The sequence below is a fragment of the Homo sapiens genome, chromosome 1 (genome assembly GCF_000001405.40).
Source record: "Homo sapiens chromosome 1, GRCh38.p14 Primary Assembly".
In the NCBI taxonomy this organism is placed as follows: domain Eukaryota; kingdom Metazoa; phylum Chordata; class Mammalia; order Primates; family Hominidae; genus Homo; species Homo sapiens.
This window is the reverse complement of record NC_000001.11, coordinates 24,869,390-24,894,736: the sequence shown is the minus strand read 5'-3', so window position 1 is coordinate 24,894,736 and position 25,347 is coordinate 24,869,390. Positions and strand designations below refer to the sequence as shown.

At 45.2% G+C, this 25,347-nt stretch overlaps 1 annotated feature.

Moving 5' to 3' along the window:
- Nucleotides 23,948-24,007: an enhancer, noted in NCBI's record as "active region_406". NCBI's record gives its function as "activates an Ori minimal core promoter by ATAC-STARR-seq in GM12878 lymphoblastoid cells {active_cell/tissue: GM12878}" and the evidence as "EXISTENCE:reporter gene assay evidence [ECO:0000049][PMID:35858748]".

Sequence of the window (25,347 nt, the reverse complement as noted above, 5' to 3'; positions counted from 1 at the left end):
GTAATCCCAGCTACTCAAGAGGCTGAGGCAGGAGAATCACTTGAATCCAGGAGGCAGAGGTTGCAGTGAGCTGAGTTTGTGCCACTGCACTCCAGCCTGGACAACAGAGTGAGATTCCATCTGAAAACAAAACAAAACAAAACTGAGAAACAAGGACAGAATTCCACCTGATCCTGACGAAGGCAGAGCAGTCGCTGAAAATATTAAGTTTCCTACCAACTAAAAGTATTGGAGGCTCAAAGTAAGAATCAAGTTGACTTTAAGAAAAAAAAAATATGACATTTCTACACATACTTGCTTATAAAGATTGATCAAGGGGGAGGAAAAAAAGAAAAAGAAATGAGAAAATGTCTTTTTAAAAAAACAGAGGCCCTTTCTCTGCGTCTGAGAGGGATGCCTCTACCTTTCTGAGTTGTGATTCTAAGATTTCACAAAGCATGAAATCAAAAAACAGAAGTCACTGTGACTGTCTCTGAATCTGTCTGGAAACCCCCAGCCCATTCTTCCCCGCCCAAGGCGGGGAACTTCATGAACGAGGCCTCCCCGGAGCTAGGTCTGAGCCTCTTCATGGCAGGCTCACCCCCCTACCCAAATATGCCCACAGTGGGAATATCTGCCCAGGCATCAGTCTTGCCCCGCCACAAACAGGTTCTATTTCTTTTTCCATGAAAACAACTCCGTCCTAAATCACTGACGCCTGAAATTAGGAAAATACAAGGCCTATATTATCATAAAACTATTTTAACACAGTGGGGCCCCTTCGGTGGTGGGAGCGGTGGCCAAAGACTCTGCAGCCCCTTCCATTTGTAGCCCCTGGAAATGCTCAGAGGGATGAGAAATTTGGTTTTCATTAGCGGCGAATGTGAGGAGCTCTGTCGCTCTGAATGGACCTTTGATTCTGGCTGGTGGTGGACTCTTTCCAGGGCCTGGTGAGTTTTGTTTTGTTTTGTTTTGTTTTCATATAAAATGGGCTAGGCCCTTCCAGCTTATATCTCCCTGTACTACATGAGAATTGGGCAACGCCCCACTCTCTTGACTTCTAAAGTCAACAGCTGGGGCCGGCAGGAGAGGCACCCAGGACCATTCGCCTTTATTGACTCTGAGGTTTTATTAAAAATGTTATGTTTCCTTGAGGCCTGTGCCAGACCCAACAAGCAGACTGGCCAGTGAGCAGCTGGCAGAGGCCAGGGGGTTTGCACTGCCTGGAAGACAACCCACCTTGACCTGCCTTCTCCCACTCCAGTGACCCCCAGAAATGGCCTCTGCCTTGGAATCTCCACAGAAAACCCTATTTCTTCCCCTCTACTTTGAGCAAAAGAACATTGGCCTGCTCTTTTATTCATTCAACACACATTGGTTAGGCATCTACTACAGTGGCGGGTGCTTGGGATGCAGCTGCAAACAAGTCACACAATGTCCTTATTCCCCTGGAGCCTACACCCTAATTGGGGAGAAAGGCCATAAACGAATAAATAGATCACATGGCTACAGACAGTAATCAGTACACAAAAAAATAAAACAGGAGAATATGATGGAGGAAGACTGGGAGTTGGAAGGCATCATTAGATAAGATGGTCAGGGAAGGTCTCTCAGAGGAGCTGACTGTGGACTACATAAACATAGCCAGGCATAGTCCAGTTTCACCCACTGTACCAGTTGTGGCATCTTGACTACAGCAGATCAACACTGTCTCTGGAATTTGGTATGCAGCTACCAATTTGGTAAATCCTTTCTTCCTGATATCCAACAGCAGAGAGGCACTAGAGCAGTTTACATGGCAGGGACAGCAGAGCACCTTCATGGTCCAGCCTCAGGACTCCCTCACTCCATCCTCCATCATGGTATCATTTAATTGACTCTCTGTTCCACATGGCTGGGGAGGCCTCACAGTCATGGCAGAAGACAAAGGAAGAGCAAAGGTGACTGTTGCTATGTTTTACCAAAGAGACTGGTGGCATTTTGAACTTGAGAGAGATGATTTAGGGCATCTGGTGGGAGAAATTTCTAGGCAGCAAAGTGTTCAAGAGGTGACTTGGGTACTGTTAAAAGCATTCAGTTTTATTCATTCACAAAGATATGGTTTGGAATTGGAACTTATGTTTAATGGGGAAGCAGAGCATAAAAGTTTGGAAAAGTTGCAGCCTGATGATGCAATAGATAAGAAAAATCCATATTCTGAGGAGAAATTCAAGCCTGCTGCAGAAATTTGCATAAGTAATGAGGAGCCAAATGTTAATCGCCAAGACAATGGGGAAAATGTCTCCAGGGCATAACAGAGACTTTGTGGCAGCCCCTCCCATCACAGGCCCAGAGGCTTAGAAGGACAAAATGGCTTCATGGGCTGGGGTCCAGAGCCCCACTGCTCTGTGCAGCCTAGGGACTTGGTGCCCTGCATCCCAGTTGCTCTAGTCATATCTAAAAGGGGCCAAGGTACAGCTCAGGCTGTGGCTTCAGAGGTGGAAGCCCCAAGCCTTGGCAGCTTCCATGTGGTATTGTGCCTGTGGGTGCACAGAAGTCAAGAATTGAGGTTTGGGAACCTCTGCTTAGATTTCAGAGGATGTAACTGGATGTCTAGGCAGAAGTTTGCTGCAGGGGTGAGGCCCTCATGGAGAACCTCTGCTAGGGCAGTGCAGAAAAGAAATGTGGGGTTGAAGCCCCCACATAGAGTCCCCACTGGGGTGCTGCCTAGTGGAGCTGTGAGAAAGGGCCATCATCCTCCAGACCTCAGAATGGTAGACCCACCAACAGGTTGCACTGTGCATCTGGAAAAGCCATAGATACTCAACGCCAGCCTGTGAAATTAGCCAGGAGGGAGGCTCTACCCCATGAAGCCACAGGGGCAGAGCTGCCCAAGACCATGGGAACCCACCTCTTGCATCAGTGTGACCTGGATGTGAGACATGGAGTCAAAGGAGATCATTTTGGAACTTTAATATTTGACTGCCCCACTGGATTTTGGACTTGCATGGGGCCTGTAGTCCCTTTGTTTTGGCCAATTTCTCCCATTTGGAACAGCTGTATTTACCCAATCCCTGTACCCCCATTTTATCCAGGAAGTAACTAACTTGCTTTTGATTTTACAGGTGCATAGGCAGAAGGGATTTACCTTGTTTCAGATGAGACTTTGGACTGTGAACTTTTGAGTTCATGCTGAAATGAGTTAAGACTTTGAGGGACTGTTGGAATGGCATGATTGATTTTGAAATGTGATGACATAAGATTTGGGAGGGGCTAGGGAGGGAATGATATGTTTTGGCTGTATCCTCACCCAAATCTCATCTTGAATTGTAGCTCCCATAATTCCCATACGTTGTGGGAGGGACCCAGTGGGAGCTAATTGAATCATGGAGGTGGTTTCCCTCATACTGTTCTTGTGATATTGAATAAATCTCACGAGATTTTATAAGGAGTTTCCCCTTTAACTTAGCTCTCATCCTCTCTTGCCTGCCACCATGTAAGACATTCCTTGCTCTTCTACCATGATTGTGAGGCCTCCCCTGCCATGGGAACTGTGAGTCAATTAAACCTCTTTCCTTTATAAATTACCCAGTCTCGAGTATGCCTTTATTAGCAGCGTGAGAATAGACTAATACACCCAAGGAATCTCTTAGGTCAGGTTTCCCTAGAAGCAGATCAAGAGGTGGGGATTTTTGTGGGGAGGACTTTCAGGGGAAGTGGAAAGAGGGAAGCAGGACACAGCAGAGAAAGAAAGTTAATCTATGACATCCCTGGGCTGGAGGCCAGCCTCATTCTGGTCTCATGAGGGCCTTTGGAGCATTAATTACAGCACTGACTTGTCCCCTCCAGATAGCAGACTTTTTGTGTCCTCAGGTAAGTCAGTTGGCAAGACTTGCCACACCCCCAAAGGAGCATAACCTCCACGGTGAGATGTCTACTGTTTGGCAGAGAGCAATTCTCCAGAGAAGGGGGCAGATGTGAGCAGTTTGCAGCCAATGCTCACACAATGTTAACATGACGGACCTGGGTGGTAGCGTGGGGTGTCAAGATGATCAAGGACACTGCAGTGGATGCTGTGGGTGAGCCTCTCAACAGACCCCCTTCACTGGACAGTTGCTCCCATGCTCCTGCTGCTCTAAACCTAAGGAGGAAAAATGGCAAGAACCCAAGATGCTTTAATAAAATATATGGCTGGGCACAGTGGCTTACGCTTGTAATCCCAGCACTTTGGGAGGCTGAGGTGGGTGGATCACCTGAGGTGAGGCGTTCGAGGCCAGCCTGGTCAACATGGTGAAACCCTGTCTCTACTAAAAATACAAAAATTAGCCATGCATGGTGGCGGGCACCTGTCATCCCAGCTACTTGGGAGGCTGAGGCAGGAGAATGGTTTGAACCCAGGAGTTGGAGGTTTCAGTGAGCCAAGATCGTGCCACTGCACTCCAGCCTGGGTGACAGAGTGAGACTCCATCTCAAAACAAAACAAAACAAAAATGTATGCACACCAGAGAGTGGAAGATAAAGCCTCTGAAAATTCAGGGTCCCCCGTATTGATGAAGATCTTAAGGAACCTGTGATCTGAGGCATGCCAAGCCATCCCCTCTCAGAAAAAAAGACAAGTTGCTGCATTTGCACCTCTACCATACAGTAGGATGAAAAAGCACCCCCCCACCCCACCACGAAGATATGTCCATGTCCTAATTTCCAGAACCTATGGGGATATTACCTTATTTGGAAAACAGATCTTTGCAGATGTAATTCAGTTAAGGATCTCAAGATGGGGAGGTAATCTTGGATGATGCAGGCAGGTCCTAAATGTAATGGCAAATGTCCTTATAAGAGACATACAGAACAGAGGCACATAGGGAAGAGGAGGAGGCCATGTGACCACAGACGCAGATTGGAGTGATGCAGCCACAAGCCAAGGAATGTCTGGAGCCAAGAGAAGCAGGAAGAGGCAATACACGGGCCTCGTGTATTGCCCGTGTCAGCCCTGCCAACATCTTGGTTTCAGACTTCTGATCTCCCCAGCTGCGAGAAACTGTCCTTCTGTTGTTTTATGCCCACCTTCTTTGTTCTCCTTGAATTTCAAAGCAGCATATACCACACTTGGGAATGCTACTCTGACCTATTTATTAGGCAATTCAGAAAGCTTTCAGTTCTGAGACAAAGCAAAAGAGAACGCTGCATAGGTCCAAGCTGCAGTGTGAGCTGCTCTGCTAGCCATGAGACTGAGAAGATTTATGGTGCTAGATAAAGAACTTGGGTGGAGCCTTTAACAAACCCCAGTAGAAGAGTCCCAGTACAGACCTCTAAAATTTTCTGCAGTGGAGAACTACTCTCCTTTTGAAAAACAATTGCTGGCATGCTACTGAACCCTACAGAGACTCAGAGCCTGACCATGAGACATCAAGCAACTATGCTGGCTGAGTTTCCCTCTGTGAGCTGGCTATGACCAGATCCACCAAATCCTAATGTGAGGCAGGCACAGCAGTAACCCACTGTACAATGGAAATGCTACAATGCACTATTCACAATAGCAAAGACATGAAATCAATCCAAATACCCATCAATGATAGACTGGATAAAGAAAATGTGGTACACATACACCATGGAATACTATACAACCATAAAAAGGAACGATATTATGTCCTTTGCAGGGACATGGATGGAACTGGGAGCCATTATTCTCAGCAAACTAATGCAGGAACAGAAAACCAAACACCACGTGTTTTCACTCATAAGTGGGAGCTGAACAATGAGAACACAAGGACACGGTGGGGGAACAACACACACTGGGGCCTTTCAGGAGGTGCGTGGGGAGGGAGAGCATCAGGATAAATAGCTAATGCATGCTGGGCTTAATGCTTAGATGATGGGTTGATAGGTGCAGCAAGCCACCATGGCACACATTTACCTACGTAACAAACCTGCACATTCTGCACATGTACCCTGGAACTTAAAATAAAATTAAAAAATAAATAAATAAATAAATAAATAAATAAATAAATAAGTATTTGTCATAATATAAAAAAAAGAGAAATGCTACAGTGATATTTGGGATTGAGACTGGCAGGTCCAGCAGGTACAAGTGGGTTACATGAAGAAGTGTGCCAGACCCCACGCCACCCACTTATGTTGTGTCTCTACCCACCCCTCAACACACACCTGTAGCCTCATGGCGATTTCCTGAAGCCGACTGTCAGAGGGGTAAGGGGCTCAGGTCTGGTTCATAGGTTGGCACACAGAACTATGAATAGATTTGGTCATCTCCATCTCATGGAGGAAGAAGTGTGACATGTCCACAGTGACTCCTGAGCTAGTTGATCAGCAGCCTGAAAGGACAAGATTAGAATATCTTGGATGGTGTGGTTGGGGAAGGCCCGCCCATAGAGGGGACAATTGAGCACAATGCGTGGCAAACACCCCAGTGTTCACAGAGGGCCTTCCCATTTACAGAGCACCATCGCCCATGAATCATGAACCCCTGGATCCGGGGAGGTGGATCCCTTTGTGGCTCCCTGGGCTGGGTTCCTGCATATCAGTCCTGGCTGCAGCAGGCTCCAGGTATGGGGATCTGTTTCAGCTTGGGCTGCCCAGAAGCAGACTTTGAGAAGAGAATTCACATGAAAGTGATTTCTTAAGGAAGTACTCCCAGGACAAGCCAGTGTCAGAGTAGGGGGAGCTAGACATGGAGGGTGAGGCCAGTTGAAACTGACCTGTGGGGGGCTCCGGAGTATAAGTTACACCTCAGAGTTTGTGCCCAACTGCAGGCCAGGGATCTGGGCTTCTATGCTTCTGCATGTGCACCTGTCAGTCATTCCTTTTTTTTTTTTTTTTTTTTTTTTTTGAGATGGAGTTTCACTCTTGTTGCCCAAGCTTGAGTGCAATGGCGTGATCTCGGTTCATTGCAACCTCCGCCTCCCAGGTTGAAGTGATTCTCCTGCCTCAGCCTCCCAAGTAGCTGGGTTACAGTCATGCGCCACCATGCCCAACTAATTTTTTTCTATTTTTAGTAGAGACAAGGTTTCACCATGTTGGTTAGGCTGGTCTTGAACTCCTAACCTCAGGTGGTCCACCTGCCTTGGCCTCCCAAAGTGCTGGAATTACAGGTGTGAGCCACCGTGCCCTGCCCACCTGTCAGTCATCACCATGGTAAGACAGCTCCAGGGGTCACGAATATCCAGGCACTCTGGCTCTGTGTGTGTGTGTATATGTGTGTGTGTGTGCATGTGTGCATGTGTGTGTGCATGTGCATGTGCGTGTGTGTGTGTGTGTGTCTGAATTTTGTGCACACAAAGCCCCTCTAATAGCTCAAGGGGAGCCCTCGAGAGAGAGTGGCAGGCACAGGCTGTTAGAAGCAAAGACACAGAGGAGCCAAGGAGGAGCTCACAGAAATGGAGTCATCTCCAGCCTCCTACCTAGTGATGCCCTTGGCATTGCCTGGTGCACTGGGCCATACATTATCCTGCTCAAAATTCATGTACTTCTTAGAACCTGAGAATGTGACCTTTGGAAATAGGGTAACTGCAGATGAAATTAGCTAAGACGAGGCCATACTGATGCAGGGTAGGCCCTTAATCCAATATGACAATAAGATGAGGAGAAGAAGACACAGAGACAGAGGGAAAGGGAGAACGCCATGTGAAGATGAAGGCAGAGACTGGAGTGATGCATCTACAAGTCAAGGGGCTCCAAGGATTGCCAGCAACCACCAGGAGCCAGGAGAGCGCCTGGAACAGATTCTTCCTCAGAGCCTCCCGTAGGAACCAGCCCTGCCAACACCTTGATTTTGGACTTCCAGCCTCCAGAACTGTGCAAGGAACAATGCCTGTTGTTCTGAGCCTCCCAGTTTGTGGCTCTGTGTCACAGCAGCTCTAGGAAATAAACACACCTGGGAGCATCTGGGTTATAGGTAAGAGGCAGCATCTGAGGCCCCTCAGCACTGATGGGAGACGGACAGGCTCACACCATCATCATCTGGCCAGAAGGACTTGGAAAGATGCTTATGTTCCACAAGAGAAAGGAGAAAAAGGAAACCACACTTCCACAACCTTCCAGGAGGTAAGGAGCTGTAGCCCCACCCAGAGGCAACAAACCTGGATCCCAGCTATGGACAGGAACACCACTAGTTCAGGCTGGAAAATGTATCCAAATACTGCTGCAGTTGTTTTTGGAACTACATCTGGCTAAATGGGAGAGGTCCTGGGCCTGGCAGCTGGACCAATGCCCAGTTACAGAAAGAGGAGGGAGTGGCTGGCTACAAGGTAAGTGGGCAAGGTTGCGGGAGAGGGAAGGAGTCACTCTCCTTTGCTCCAGAGACCCCTTGTCCATGAATGCATGTTTAGGAACAGCAGAGGAGGGGGAGCCTGGCTGGGGTCTTGCCAAGTTTACCCTCTGGGTGGCAGACCAGAGGCCATATCCCCTCAGCCCTGGCATCTTTTGCTGAATAAAGTATATCCACAGGCCAGAGGAAACCACCAAGGAGAAAGAATTCACTAGAAACAACATTGCCCAAACTTCACTCACTCAAGTACCATCTTCACACATTTTGCCATGTCTCAGGGTCAGCTCAGTATATACATAGATGGGTAACTTGGATTTCATCAAAATAAAAGTAGATAGTTAATCAAAAAACACTATCAAGGCCAGGCACCCAGGCACAGTGGCTCACGCCTATAATCCTAGCACTTTGGGAGGCTGAGGCAGGCGGATCACCTGACTAGCCTGGCCAACATGGTGAAACCCCATCTCTACTAAAAATGCAAAATTAGCTAGGCGTGGTGGTGCATAAATGTAATCACAGCTACTTGGGAGGCTGAGGCAGAAGAATCACTTGAACCTGGGAGATGGAGGTTGCTGTGAGCCGAGATCGCGCAATTGCACATTGCACTTCAGCCTGGGCAACAAAAGTGAAACTCCATCTAAAAAAAACAAAACAAAACACTATCAAGATCCAGCCTGGGCAACACAGCAAGACTCCACCTCTACAAAAAAATGTAAAAGTTAGCCAGACGTGGTGGCACACACCTGTTGTACTAGCTGCTTGAGAGGCTGAGTCAGGAGGATTGCTTGAGCCCAAGAGTTCAAGGTTACAGTGAGCTATAATCATGTCACTGTACTCCAGCCTGGGTGACAGAGTGAGACCTTGTCTCAAAAAAAAAAAAAAGACACTATCAAGAAAATAAAATGAGGCTGGGCACAGTGGCTCATGCCTGTAATTCCAACACTTTTAGAGGCTGAGGCAGGAGGATCACTTGAGCTCAGGAGTTCGAGACCAGCCTGGGCAGCATAGTGAAACTTCATCTCTACAAGAAATATAAAAATTAGCAGAGCATGGTGGTGTGCACCTGTAGTCCCAGCTACTGGGGAGGCTGAGGTGGGAGGACTGCTTGAGCTGGGGAGGTGGAGGTGGCAGTGAGCCAAGATTGCACCACTGCACTCCAGCCTGGGTGACAGAGTAAGACCCTGTCTAAGAAAGAAAAAAAAAAAAAAGGAAAATGGAATGACAGCAAATAATGAATAATGGGAGAAAATGTTTGTAAATCATTTATCTGATAAGCATCTAGAATCCAGGACATATAAAAAAAACTCTTGCAATTCAGCAACAGAAAGACAAAATAACCCAATTTAAAAATGGTCAAAATGCTTGAACAGACATTTTTTCAAAGAAGATATACAATGGCCAAGAAGCACATGAAAAGATGCTCAACATCATTAGTCATTTGAAAAATCCAAATCAAAACCACAATGAGATACTCTTTCATATCCACTAGAATGGCTATAATTTAAAAGACAGAAAGAGAGAGAGAGGAAAGGAAAGGAAAGGAAAGGAAAGGAAAGGAAAGGAAAGGAAAGGAAAGGAAAACAAGCACTGGTGAGAATGTGGAGAAATTAGAACTCTCATATGTTGCTGGTGGGGATGTAAAATGGTTCAGCCACTTTGGGAAACAGCTTGGCAGTTCCTCACAATGATACCATATAACCCAGCAGTTCTGCTCCTAGAATTGAAAATAATTCTCCAAAAGAATTGAAAACAGGTATTCGAACAAATGTTTGTACACAATGTGTACAATGAGTACAAATACATAGCAGCACTATTCACACAGCAAAAGTGGAAACAACTCAAACGTCCATCAGTAGATGAATGGATAAACACAACATAGTATATCCATGCAACACAACAGTATTCAGCCCTAAAAAGGAATGCTATCAACATGGATGAACATTGAAAACATTATGAAAAGTAAAAGAAGTCAGATACAAAAGATCACATATTGTATGATTCCATTTAAATGAAGTATCCAAAATAGCTATATTCATGGAGACAGAAAGCAGATTAGTGGTTGCCAGGGGTTGAGAGCAGGGACATGAGGAGTGGCTGCTTAATGGATTCAAGATCTCCTTTGAGTTGATGAAATGTTTTGGAGTTAGATAGAGGTGATGGCTGCACAACATTGTGAGCATACAAAATACCACTGAATTGTATGTTCAGTGTACAATGGAATTAACAAAAAATGAAAACAACCCCAATGTCCACCAACTCATGAGTAGATAAACAAAATGTTGTATATCTATACAATGGAATATTATTGGGCCATAAAACAGAAAGAATTTGACCACATTTTGGGCCATAAAACCCACCTTAACAAATTAAAAGGAGTAGAAATCATACAACTTCTGCTCGCAGACAACAATGGAATTAAAAGAAATCAATAACAGAAAGATAACTAGAAAATTCCAAAACATGTGGAGATTAAACAAAACACTTCTAAATAATACATGGGTCAAAGAAGAAATCTCAAAAAGAATTTTAATATTTTTACCTGATGAAAATTAAAACACAACTTATTAAAATGTGTAAGATAAGCCAAAGCAGTGGTTTGAGGGAAGATTATAGCATCAAATGCATATATTAGGAAAGAAGAAAAATCTAAAATCAATAATCTAAGTTTCCACCTTAACAGACTAGGAAAAGAAGGCCAAAGTAAGTAGAAGAAAAAAAAGAATAGTAAAAATTAGGGCAGAAATCAATGAAATTGAAAAAAGAAAATTAAATAATCAATGAAATCAAAAGCTGATTCTTTGAAAAGATCAATTAAATCAATAAGTCTATAGCCAGACTAAGAAAAAAAGAGAGGGAACACAAATTACTAATATCAGAAATTAAAGAAGGGACATCACTACAGATCCTATGGACATTGAAAGGATAAGAAAGGAATACTATGAACTCTATGCCCAGAAATTTGATAATCTGGGTGAAATGGACCAACTCTGTGAAAGACACAATTTGCCAAAACTCATAAAAGAAGAAATAGACAATCTGAATAGGCCTATATCTATTGAATCAATAGTTAATAACCTTCCAAAACAGAAGGCACCAGGCAGAGAAGAGTTCACTGGTAAGTTCAACCAAACATTTAAGGAAGAAATTATACCAATTCTCTACAATCACTTTCAGAGGATAGAAGCAGAGCAAATACTTTCTAACTCACCCTATGAGTCCAGCACTAACAAAACCAGATAAAAAAACATTACCAAAAAACAAAACTACAGACCAATATATCTCATAAACACAGATGCAAAAATCTTCAACAAATTACTAGCAAATCAAATCCAACCATGTATAAAAAGAATTATACCTCATTATCAAGTGAGATTTATCCTGGGTATATAAGGCTGGTTCAAGATTTGAAAATAAATTAATATAACCATCACATGAACAAGCTAAAAAAGAAAAACCCCATGATTATATCAATAGATGAAGAAAAATAATTTCGCAAAATTCAACACCCATTCATATAACAACTCTCAGTAAACTAGGAATTGAGGAGAACTTCCTCTATTTGATGAAAAAATCTACAAAAAACTTACAGCAAACACCATACTTATGGTGAGAAACTAGAAGCTTTCCCACTAAAATCAGGAACAAGTCAAGGATGTTTCCTCTCACCACTCCTTTTCAACATCATACTGGAAGTCCAAGCTAACTCAATAAGGCAAGAAAATGAAATAAAAGTTATACTGATTGGGAAGGAAGAAATAAAACTGCCTTTGTAGATGACATGATTATCTATGTAGAAAAATCCAAATAAATCAACACAAAAATCTCTGGAACTAATAGGTGATTATAGTAAGATTGTAGGATATAAGGTTGTTGTACAAGTCTGTCACTTTCCTATATACCAGCAATGGGCAAGTGAAATTTGAAATTTAAAACACAATACCATTTACGTTAGCACCCAATAAAAGAAAGTACTTAGGTATAAATCTAAGTAAATATATATAAGATTTATATGAGGAAAGCTACAAAACTCTGATGAACAAAATCAAAGAAGAACTAAATAAATAAAGAGATATTCCATATTCACAGATAGGAAGATTCAAAATTGTCATGATATAAGTTTTCCCCAACCTGATCTATAGATTCAGTGCAATCCCAATCAAAATCCCAGCATGTTATTTTGTGGATATTGAAAAATGATTCTAAAGTTTATATGAAGAGGGAAAGATCAAAATAATCAACACAATACTGAGGAAGAACAAAGTTGGAGGACAGACACTACCTGACTTCAAGACTTACTAGCTATAGTAGTCTTCAAGACTTAAAGCTATAGTAATCTTCAAGACTTAAAGCTATACTAATCAAGACAGTGTGGTATTGGCAAAAGAATAAACAAGTAGATTAATAAACAGAATAGAGAGCCCAACATAGGCCCACATAAATGTAGTCAACTAATCTTTGACAAAGAAGCAAAGACAATGCAATAGAGCAAAGACAGTCTTTTCAAAATATCATGCAAAAATCCATCTTTTAAAAAATATGAATAACTGGACATCCATATACCAAAAAAACTGAATTTAGACACAGACATTATACATTCCACAAAAGTTAACTCAAAGTACCTCATAAATCTAAATTAAAAATGCAAAACTGTAAAACTCTTGAGAAGACAACATAGGAAAAAGTCTAGATGACCTTAGGTATGGTGATGACTTGTCAGGTATAACACCGAAAGCATTATTGCTGAAATAAACAATGAATGAGCTGGAATTCATTAAAAAAATTTTTTAAACTTCTGTTTTGTGAAAGCCAATGTCAAGGGAATAACCAGACATGCAACAAACTGGGAGAAAATATTTGCAAAAGACATGTTTGATAAGAGACAGTTGTCCAAAATATACAAAGAACTCTTAAAGCTCTCAATAAGAAAAAAAACAACCCAATTAAAAAATGGGCCATGTACCTTAATAGACACCTCACCAAAAAAGATATACAGATGTCAAATAAGCATAAGAAAAGATACTCTACATCACATGTTATCAAGGGAATGAAAACTAAAATAACGGGATACTACATATCTATTAGAATGGCCAAAATACAGAATACAAACAGCACCAAACACTGAGGAGGATATGGAGCAACAGGAACTTTCCTTCATTGTTGTAAACGTAAATGTAAAATAGTACACCCACTTAGCACATAGTACAGTCACTTTGAAAGGTAAATTGTCATTCTATAAAGCTAAACATACTTTTACCATATGATTGAGCAATCACACTCCATGGTATTTACAGAAAAGAGTTGAAAACTTATGTTCACACAAAAATCTGCACACAGATGTTTATAGCAGCTTTTTTCATGCTGCCAAAAGAAGAAACCAGGATGTCCTTCAGCAGGTAAATGGATTAACTGTGGTACATCCAGACAATGAACTATTATTCAGCACTAAAAAGAAATGAGCTATCAAGCCATGAAAAGAATGGAGGAAACTTAAATCCATATTACTAAGTGAAAGAAGCCAATCAGAAAAGGCTACATACTGTGTGATTCCAATATATGACTGCTATTGTTTGAAAGTCCCCTCAAAAAACTGATGTTGAAGTTTAGTTGCCATAGTAACTGTTGAGAGGCAAGACCTTTAAAAGGTGATTAGGTTATGAGAGCTCTGCCCTCATGAATGGATTAATGCTGTTATTGTGACAGTTGGTTAGTTATCTAGGAAGTAGGCTCCTGATAAAAAGAATGAGTTCAGCCTGATTTCTGTTCTCTTTCTCTTGGCCCTTCTGCCATGTTATGGCACAGCAAGAAGGTCCTCACCAGATGCAGTTCCTCAACCTTGGACTTCCCAGCCTGTAGAACCATGAGTCAATGCTCAGTATTATTATATAAAATACATACATATATATTTTTTCTATATATTCTATATATATATTCTATATATACGTAAAATTACCCAGCCTGTGGTATTGTGTTATAGCAACAGAAAATTGGTGCACAGAAGAGGAGCTGTTGCCATGACAAATACTTGAACATGTAGAAGCTGCTTTGGAACTGGGTAATGGATAGAAGCTGGAAGAGTTTGTAGGAGCAGGCTAGAAAAAGCCTAGATTCCTGTGAATGGAGCATTAAGAGCAATTTTGCTGAGGGCTCAAAAGAAGGCCCTAGAACTAAGGACAGCCTAAATCTTCTTGAAGATTATTTAAGTGGTCATGACCAGAATGTCCGTAGAAATATGAACAGTAAAGGCCATTCTAATGAGGTCTCAGACAGAAATGAGGAACAAGGTATTGGAAACTAAGAGGAAAGGCCATCTTTGTTACAAAGTAGCAAAGACTTTGGCTGAACTGTGTTTATGTCTAAGGGCTTTATAGAGTGCAGGACTGAAGAGCAATGAACGGGGATATCTGATGGAAGAAACAGCTAAGCAGCAGAGCATTCAGGTTGCTGCATGGCTCCTTTTAACCACATACAGTGAGATGCAAAAGGAAAGGAATGACTTAAAGACAGAATTTATAATTAAAAGAGAAGCAAAGGAAAACTCACAGCCTGGCCTCCTAAAGAGTGAAAAGCAATAACATTCGGAAAAGAATACTAAGGGTGTGGCCAAGCAACCATTTACTTAAAAGATCAGGCTAGATAGAAGAAAGCCAGGTGTTATTCCTTTGGAGGAAAGACTCCAAAGACATTTCAGAGCTCTTCCGGGCTGTTTCTCTTATTACGGGCCCAGAGCTCTAGGAGAGCAGAATGGTTTCAGGGAACATGCCTGGGACATCCTCCACAGGCTCACTGCCCAGAGCCATCTCAGGACTCTGCCCCCATCATTCCAGTGCAGCACCTCTTGACTTCCCTGGCTGTGGCTTAAGTGGTCCCAGGTGCAGCTCAACCTGCTGCTCCAGGAGGTACAAGCTTTAAACTTTAGCAGCATCCACATGGTGTTAGGTCTGCAAGCTCACAGAATGCAAGAGCTGTGGGGGCATGGCTACCTTCAACTAGATTTAAAAGGGGGCCCAGGCAGAAACCTGCCACAGGGGCAAAGCCATGACAGAAAGCCCTATTAGGTAAATGCCGAGTGGAAGTGTGGGATCAGAGGCACTGCACAGAGTCCTCACTAGGGCAATGCCTACTGCAGCCGTGGAAGTGGGGCCACTCTCCAGACCACAGAACTGTTGAGCTGCCAGTGAGTGATGGCAGCCTGGGAAAGCTGCAGGCATGAGATCCCAACCTGTGAAAATTGTGTGGGCTGAGCCTAGCAAAGCCGTAGAGGCAGGGCTGCCCAGTGTGCCCAGGTGGCTGGTCGTGGAGTCAAAGGAGATTGTTCTCCAGCTTTAAGACTTAATCTTGTTTTCCCTTTTGGGTTTTGCACTTCTTTGGGGCCTGTTACTCCTTTCTCCTTTCCTGTTGCTCCCTTTCGGAATGGGAACATCTATCCTATGCCTGTCCCACTATTGTATTTTGGAAGTAGATAACTTGTTTTGATTTTGCAGACTCACAACTGGAAGGAATTTGCCACAGCATGAGTCATGCTTTGAGTCTCATCCATATCTGATTTAGATGAGACTCTGGACTTCAGTCTTTTGAGTCGGTGCTGGAATGAGTTAAAACTTTGGGGCTATTGGAATGGGATGAATGTTATTTTGTATGCAAGGAAGACAAGAGTTTTGGTGGGCCAGAGGTGGAATGCTATGGCTTGAATGTCTTTTCCAAAACTTATGTTGAAATTTCGTTGCCATTGTAACAGCGTGGAGAGACAAGACCTTTAGGATGTGATTAGGGCCAGGCGCAATGCCTCACACCTGTAATCCCAGCACTTTGGGAGGCTGAGGCAGAAGGATCACTTGAGTCCAGGAGTTCAAGACTAGCCTAGGAAACATAGCAAGCCCTCATCTCTAAAAAAATTTCAAAATTAGCCAAGCATGGTGGTACATGCCTATAGTTTCAACTACTTGGGAGCCTGAGGTAGGAGGATCACTTGAGCCTGCGAGGTCAAGGCTGCAATGAGCTATGGTTGTGCCACTGCACTCCAGCCTAAGCAACAGAGTGAGACCCTGTCTGAAAACAAAAACAAACAAACAAAAAAGAGGTGATTAGGCCATGAGAGCTCTGCTCTCTTGAATGGATTAATACCATTATTAGGGGAGGGGGTTAGTTATCGCAGGAGTGGGCTCCTGATAAACAGATGAGTTCAGTCTGAGTTCCTCTCTCTGTTCCGTGAGCTCGCTTGCCCTCTGCCGTGTTATGACACAGCAAGAAGGCCCTCACCAGATGCAACCCCTCAACCTTGGATTTCCCCAACCACGAGCCTAGTAAGTCTCTTTTCTTTATAAATTACCCAGTCTGTGGTATTTTGTTATAGCAGCAGAAAATGGACTAAGAGAATGACATTCTGGAAAAGGCAAAACTGTGGAGATGGTAGAAAGATCAGTGGTTGCCGGGGATTAGGGGGATGGGAGGAAGAAATAGGTGGCACACAGAGGATTTTTATGGCAGTGAAAATACTTTGTATGATACCATCATGACAGATACGTGTCATTATACGCTTGTCCAAACCCATAGAATGTACTACATTAACAGTGAACCCCAAAGTAAACTATGGATTTGCAGTGATAATGATGTGTCAATGTCAGTTCATCGGTTGTTAAAATTGTTCCATTCTGGTGGGGGATGTTAATGATGGGAGGCTGCGTATGTTGTGGGGGCAGGGAACATAGGGAAATCTCCATACCTGCCTCCCAATTTTGCTGTGAAACTAAAACGACTCTAAAAAAATCTTTGAATGTATTTTAAAAATGTTTTTAATTTAAAAAGAAGATTTTTTAAAAGGGTGAAACATGCTACAACATACATGTTCCATCAGTACAACATGTACTAATACATATTACAATATGGATGAACCTTGAAGACATTATGCTAAGTGAAAGAAAAGACCACATATTCTATGATTCCATTTATATGAAGTGTCCAGAATAGGCAAATCCATAGAGATGAAAAGTAGGTTTGTGATTGCAGGGGCTGAGGGACAGGGGAGTGGGGAGTCACTGCTAAATGGTACAAGGTTTCTTTTGAGAGCAATGAAAATATTCTGGAATTAGTGATAATAGGTTGTATGACCTGGTGGATAATACTAAAAGCCACCACACTGCACACTTTAAAGGGTTAATTTTATGGGATATGAATTATATCATTTAAAAATTGTCCTTGGGGCAGGGCGCTGTGGCTCACGCCTGTAATCCCAGCACTTTTGGAGGCCGAGACAGGTGGATCACCTGAGGTTAGGAGTGCGAGACCACCTGGCCAACATGGTGAAACCCTGCCTCTTCTAAAAATAAAAAAATTTAGCTGGGCGTCGTGGTGCATGCCTGTAATCCCAGCTATTCAGGAGGCTGAGGCAGGAGAATCGCTTGAACCCAGGAGGCAGAGGTTTCAGTGAGCTGAGATTGCACCACTGCAGTCCAGCCTGGGTGACAGAGCAAGACTCCATCCTAAAAAGTAAATAAAAATAAAAATAAAAATTGTTTTTGGGTCTAGAGTAGTTGGGGTGGAGCCCGATAATTTGCATTTCTGACAAAGTTCCCAAGTGATGCTGACACTGCTGGTCCCCGGACCAGACTTCGAAAATCATTTCATGTAAATTGCTCTGTGTCTGGCCAAGAGCAGCGGCTCAATACCACGTGAGGAGATTTCAGTGATATCCACAACCAACCATCTGATGCAGGAACAGGGTAATTTTCTTTAATTTCCAGTTGGGGAAACTGAGGCCCAGAGAAGGCGGTAACTACTGGGAGTCATGAGGGAGGATGGGACATGGCAGAGGTGGGACTCGAGCCCAGGTCTTCCAGCTCCACGTTGAAGGCTCCACCACTGGCCTGGAGCACGTGGGCTTCTCTCTGAATGGCCCCATAGACAGGGAAATATGCTCAGGAACATACCCAACCCTCCAACCCTCTCACTCCATCCTCAACAAAATCCTTCCATTCTCCCAACCCCTTCTGAGATTATATCTAAGGGCTGATCTGCCTGGCTCCAGATCTACTTCATTTGTGGATTCTGCCTCCTGCCACCCTCCTTCCCTGGCCCCCCAGGGCAAGTCTCAGCCGGATCCTTCCTGCTGCCACTCCTGCCCCGCCCCGCCCCGCCCCTCCCCGCCCCGCCCCACCCCACCCCACCCCACCCAGGGATCCAGGCCTTGGCCCCAGCAGGCATCACAGCAGGGCAGCCTGAACCAAGTCACAGAGGGGTGGTCTTGAGGTCTCCAAGAAGGTCACCTAAAGACATTCACAGTTAAGCCCTCACAGCTCAGGCAGAGCAATTTTGCATCTTTGTCTCATTTGCTCCTGTGACTTTTGCAGAAAGTGGCTTTCCCAAGGGCAGCCCGGCGGGCAGGCTTCAAAATAAAGGCTCTCCCTTCCTGGCCTTTCATTTGCTCATTCATTCAAATACTTACTGGGTGCTTGTTCCATGTCAGGGCCTTGGGAACACAAAGGTGATTAAAACACAGTTGCATGGCCAGGCACAGTGGCTCACCCCTGTAGTCCCAACACTTTGGGAGGTCGAGGTGGGTGGATCACTTGAGGTCAGGAGTTTGAGACTAGTCTGGGCAACATGGCGAAACCCTGTCTCTACTAAAAATACAAAGATTAGCTGGTGTGGTGGCACACGTCTGTAATCCCAGCTACTCGCGAGGCTGAGGCAGAAGAATCGCTTGAACCCAGGAGGTGGAGGTTGCAGTGAGCCGAGATCGCACCACTGCACTCCAGCCTGGGCAACAGAGCAAGACTCTGTCTCAAAAAAAAAAGAAAAGAAAAAAATATTAAAACAAACAAACAACAATAACAAAAAACAAAAAAACACAGTTGCAGAAGCTCACAGGTTGGGAAAGTAACTCGCTAGGACCTGAAACAATCATCACAGGGATGAGTCTGAGGTCCGACCCTGAAGACTGCTTTGAACGGTCCCCAGAGGGCACAAGCCTGGTCTTTATCCACACCCAGAAAGGACTGTCCAGAAGCAGCCTGGTATTAGAGCTGAGGTTTCCCACGGCCTGCTGGTCCTCTTATTCCAGGCCGGGGCCAGAGGTAGTAACACTTGGCTGCCCCATGAGAGAAGTGGGCAGAAGCTACCTGTCTGGGGGCGAAGTGACCACTGAGACAGCTAGCCCGGAGGAACTGCAGTCTCATCTGCTTTCCGGGGCTTAATGATGGAGACAAGCTGCTTCTCAGAGGAAACTGCTTCAGTAAAGATCTTCAAAAGGCAATATACTGTATTTTGGTGACTCTAAGAGGCTTGATTTTTCACATTTTAGTGTCTCTGAAATAGGGGTGTGTCTTACAGTAATTGTTGGCAGGAGGCCCTCTCCAGGGAGTGGTCACAGCCCGCTTACACCGTCACATCGACAATGGGATTCTGCGGCTTGGAAGGAAACCCTGGAGACAATAGAGGAGTGTTCTTTTAACCTCTAGGAACCAAATGGCTGTGGGTACGGGATGGAGGAGGTGGTAAATCGGACGTGTTTAGCAGCATTCCTCCCATGGGCGTCGAAAGTGGGCCAGCCCCGCACAATGGCAAACCCCTCGCAGGAGCCCAGCGCCAGTGGCCCTCAGCCACCTCTAGGAAATGCCGCATCCAGTAGTTGTTCCCTTGGTGGAAAGGGGCTGGGACAGCCACAAAGGAGGCTTCTAGGATGCTGGGAAGCTCTCCCCATCTGGGTAGTAGCTACACTCAGTGGTGGGCCAGTAAACCAGACCTCTGAAGGGAAAAAAACAGCCCTGGATTATGTAGCATTTGCCAATTTCCATGATGTAAAATACTCCCATTGCAGCTAGGGTTTGGTTTTTGTTTTTGTTTTTTGAGACGGCGTCTCGCTCTGTCACACAGGCTGGAGTGCAGCAGCTCCATCATAGCCTACTGCAGCCTCAATCTCCTGGGCTCAAGCAATCCTCCCAAGTAACTGGAACTTAACAGGCACACACCACCACATCTGGCTAATTTAAAAATATATATATTTTTGTAGAGACAGGGTCTCCCTATGTTGCCCAGGCTGGTCTCAAGCTCCTGGGCTCAAGCAGTCCTCCTGCCTTGGCCTCCCAAAGTGTTGGAATTACAGGTGTGAGCCACTGCGCCTGGCCCGCAGCTGATTTTAAGTGACCAACAATTTAAAAACCAGTTTGCAAAATTCCTGAGTGTTTAACAATGCTAATGTGAGCCAGCTCCAACGCACTGGTGAGTCTAGATGAATATTAACGTGGATAAAAATTCATCAAGTGTACTTATAATTTATGTACTTTGTTATATGTAAACACGCTTTTCCTCTCTAACATATTTTTGAAGAGAGAGGGAGAAATCTTCATCGCCAGCATTTGCTGGTGCGGAGAACAATCTTATGGGAAAGAGCTGGGCTTCTACTGCTCACTCAGAGTTTGTCTTTTTTTTTTTTTTTCTTAAGACAGAGTCTCACTCTGTCACCCAGACTGGAGTGCAGTGGCACAATCTTGGCTCACTGCAACCTCCGCCTCCCGGGTTCAAGCAACTCTCCTGCCCCAGCCTCCCAAGTAGCTGGGGCTACAGCCTCTGCCACCACACCTGGCTAACTTTTGTATTTTTTGTAGAGACAGAGTTTCGCCATGTTGCCCAAGCTGGTCTCAAACTCCTGGCCTCAAGTGATCCACCTGCCTTGACCTCCCAAAGTGCTGGACACAGGCATGAGCCACCACGCCCAGTTACTCAGTTAGATTTTGAATATGAAGAAGTTTATTTTCACATAAATCCATTTCATGTCATATAAGTTTATTTTCAGATAAATTTTCCTTCTATGTACAGACAACTGAGAGAGATACATATATATATGCATATATGCTTATATATGCATATATATGCTTATATATGCATCATATATAAGCATATATATGATGCATATATATGATGCATTATATATATGCATATATATGCTTATATATGATGCATATATGATGCATTATATATATGCATATATAATGCTTATATATATATGATGCATACAGATATGAAAGAGCTCTTTTAATTAGTCTAAAATAAAAAAATTCTATGTGATGAGAAATACTGTGTCTTACTGTAGCTGACAGCATTTCTATTTCCTGGGGTATATAAAAGAGTGGTGTATCTATATTCAATGATGTCATAGATTTGTTGAAATATAGTCATATATATTTTTAAGTTTGATGGATGTTCTCAACAGTTGCTTGGAACACTGAACCAGGAGTCAAGACCAAGAGATGGGTTCTAGGTGTGGATTTGACGCTGTGTGACCTTGGGTAAGTCAATTATTCTCTCTGAGCCTCAGTTTCCCTACTTCCAATGAGAGGTTGTAATAATATCTACCTTGCAGGGCTATTGTGAAGATCAAGTGAGACACTGTGCACTGGGCAGTTTCTGTCTCTCTTTGAGCAAGGCATGCTGACAGATCTGCAAAAGGCAACTAATGGTTGTCACTGTTGTTACTTAGCCTCTCTGAGCCTCCATCCAGTAAATGAACCCAAGTCCCAGGATTGTTGGGAAGAGCCACTGAGCCAATGCATAAGAAAGTGCTGTGTGCAAGCTGGGCAGTGCTCTACCAGTGAACAGGATTGTTAAACAGTCTAAAGACTGTGCACAACAGACATGGAAACCTATTAGGGCAATGAGACCATGTCTGGACACATCTCCCAAGGAAAGCGTGAAAAGGGAACCACAGAAACAGCACATCGAGGCTCAAACCTCACTTCCACATGTGGAAACATCTGTCAATCTGTGGTCAGACCTGCTGTCCCAGCCAGGCTTCTTGGTCATGTCAGAATAGAGAAGTGGCTGTGGGAATGGCTGCCTCGCCTTCAAGGGGCTGACATGTGGTCTTGGACAGAGGACAGGGGAGGAGGCACCAGGAGCTGAGCTGGAAACATTCCCAGTGAGGGACTTCACACAATCCCACCCTGGGCCCAGCTGCACTGTGGCAAGACCACGTGGCCCCGTGGCTAAGGAACGCGGCCTTTAAGAGGCTGTGTTCGAATCCTAGCTCTGCCCTTACTAGCCAAGTGGCCTTGGACACCCTCCTTTTGAGCCTCAGATTCTCCAGCTGAGCAGGCATGGGCTAATCATACCAACCTCCGGAGTTGTTGGGAGCATTAAACTAGATAATGCATGCCAAACATTTGGCAGACCTGGCACACTATAGGTGCCTTAGTGAGCATCTCTTTAACCTAGAGCCAGCTCTGGGTAGGCAACGTCAGGTTCTCCAAGCTCCATGCCCCCTATGAATGAGGCAGAACAAACAGAGAAGTCCACGTTGAACATAATGTTCGCTACATTCTGCTAAATAGAGAAGGAAGCGCAGGTGCTGTGGACGGACATGACGGTACTATCCCTCGACATGGAGGTGCCGGAAGGTTTTCTGGGAGAATTGGGTCTCAAGCGATGGGAGGGCGGGAAGGGCCTTCCTGGCAGACATGACAGCACAAAGCAACACACACGGGGGCTTCTGCTCCCAAGACAAACCCCTCATCTTTCTGTAGGGAGTCACAGGAAACCAATGTTTCTTCCTTATTCTGAACCAAATGCTCATGCTCAGCCGCCAGCAAAACAGGCTGTTGCCACCACCTCTACAGTTAAGAGTTAGAGAGTGAGCTCCCCAGTGCCCGAAGCATTTAAACACAGTCACTGGGCCAGTCCTGGGCCTCTGACCTCAAATATGTTCCTCTCTGTGTTCAGGGCAGGGTGGGGGCTGATACCTGCAGGCTGCGTTTTTCAGCGAGTTCTGCCAAAGCGAGGCACTGGGGGAGACTGAAGATGGGGCACATGTGATGAGAGAAGCTGGGTATCCCTCCCCTTCCCTGTCTTCCTTCGTGAGCTCAGCGGCAGCAGCCATGTCTCCTCTGTGCTCCAGCTCTCTGCCACAAGCCCCTGGCTGGTACTGGGTGACCCCGATCCCAGGATCTGCTAACCCCACCACCTCCCTGGCTTCTCCATCCTGGGGCGGTGGTGGTTTCTCGCAGTTGTTAATCTCTGGGTTAACTCATCACACCCTCTTCGGCTTCTCGGCTCTCCCATAACCTGTGTGACTAACTCCCTGTATGAAGGCCCTCTGTCTGCAACACCTGAGTGTTTTTCTGCTTTCTTGGTTGGACCCTAAAAGACATAAGTCTTTCCTGATGCCACAAGACAGGAATTCAAGCCATGGACAGAAGGCTGATCGGGAAGGTCCTTCCCAAGCCTGAGAGTCTGGGCTCAGCTTTAGGGCCTCCCAACATCCACGGCCCCCCAACCCATCCTACTGCCAACTTCCCTCTAAGGGGCAACAGACAGGCAGGCTCCACCCACGTGGGCAAACATCCGGGAGCACAAACTACAACCCCCACCCCAAACCGCCAGAAGAGCCCAGTCACCTTTCCAAGGTCCCCCGGAGCAGCACGCTGTTCCGAAGCACAGAGAACTGGGAAGCACCCTCACCCTGTGGCTTTGTGGACTGGCATCCTGTTTGCAAGCCAGGAAAGGCCTCTGGTACCCTCTGGGCCGGCATCTCCATCTGAAGGTGAGGAGACTGAGGTTCAGGCAGGGGAACTGACTTTCTCAAGGGCTCCTAGCAGGCAAGCGGCAGGGCCGGGGCTGGAACCCAGGCCTCCTGGCTCCCCGCCAGCACTCTTTTCTGCCTCCCTTGTTATCCTGTCCCTGGCCCAGCCTCACAGGAAACAGGGGTTCTCAGGCCCCCGGCGAGGCCGCGCATCAGAACTGGCTTCTGGAGGGCAGCTCAACAGGAGCTGCCACCACTGCTCCGGGTGCTGCTGTGGCCTGTCCAGCCTACTTTGGGGACTTCCATGGGCGTGGCCATGTCCCAAGAAGAGTAAATAAAGTCGTTTTCAGTTCTTGATTTAAAAAGTAAGAAAGGGCCAGGGGCGGTGGCTCACGCCTTTAATCCCAACACTTTGGGAGACCGAGGTGAGTGGATTGCTTGAGATCAGGAGTTCTAGACCAGCCTGACCAACACGGTGAAACCTCATCTCTACTAAAAATACAAAAATAGCCAGGCATGGTGGCAGGTGCCTGTAATCCCAACCACTCAGGAGGCTGAGGCCGGAGAATTGCTTGAACCTGGGAGGCGGAGGTTGCAGTGAGCCGAGATCATGGCACTGCATTCCAACCTGGGTAACAGAGCGAGACTCTGTCTCAAAAAAAAAAAAAAAAGTAAAAAAGAATCAGATTGAGTTTTGCCATGGAAACCTGTCCCCAATATATGAACAATAAATTGTGCAGGACTCCCTCTGGGAGGAAAAAAGATTGACAGAACTTTCACCTGGAAAGAAAAATGCCTAGAAGGGGCTGCCAAGCTGTCCACAGAGGTTAAGAATTGGGGAGGGGCAAAGGTGAAAAAACGCTTTGCTTTTTGCTTTATACACTTCTTAGTCATTTCACATTTTTACAATAAACTTGGTTTATCTTTGTAATTACAAGAAGAGAGGAAGAAAACTTATTTTCAGTAAAAATCTCTGTGGTTTGTTAGTGGCGGCGGGGGGGGGGGGGTCTCCTTTGGTCTCCTGGGACCCGGCTGGTTCAGCCTGACTCTCCTCTGGACGAGGGAGGAAGTCCAGGAGCCACACCTTCACTCTGTGGACAGTGCAATAAACTCCCATATCCGGCTGGGTGCAGTGGCTCATGCCTGTAATCCCAGCATTTTGGGAGGCCGAGGCAGGCAGATCACTTGAGGCCAGGAGTTCTGGCCAACATGGCAAAACCCCATCTCTACTAAAAATATAAAAATTAGCCAGGCACAGTGGCTCACACCTGTAATCCCAGCACTTTGGGAGGCCGAAGCAGGAGGATCACTTGAGGTCAGGAGTTTAAGACCAACCTAGCCAACACAGCAAAACCCCGTCTCTACTAAAAATACAAAAATTAGCCAGGTGTAGTGGCGTGCACCTGTAGTCCCAGATGCTCAGGAGGTTGAGGCACGAGAATTACTTGAACCTGAGAGGCAGAGGTTGCAGCGAGCAGAGATTGTACCACTGCACTCCAGCCTCAGTGACAGATCGAGACTCCGTCTCAAAAAACAAAAAACAACAACAACAAACCTCCCATATCCCCTTTACCTAGGCTCACAGATTGTCAACATT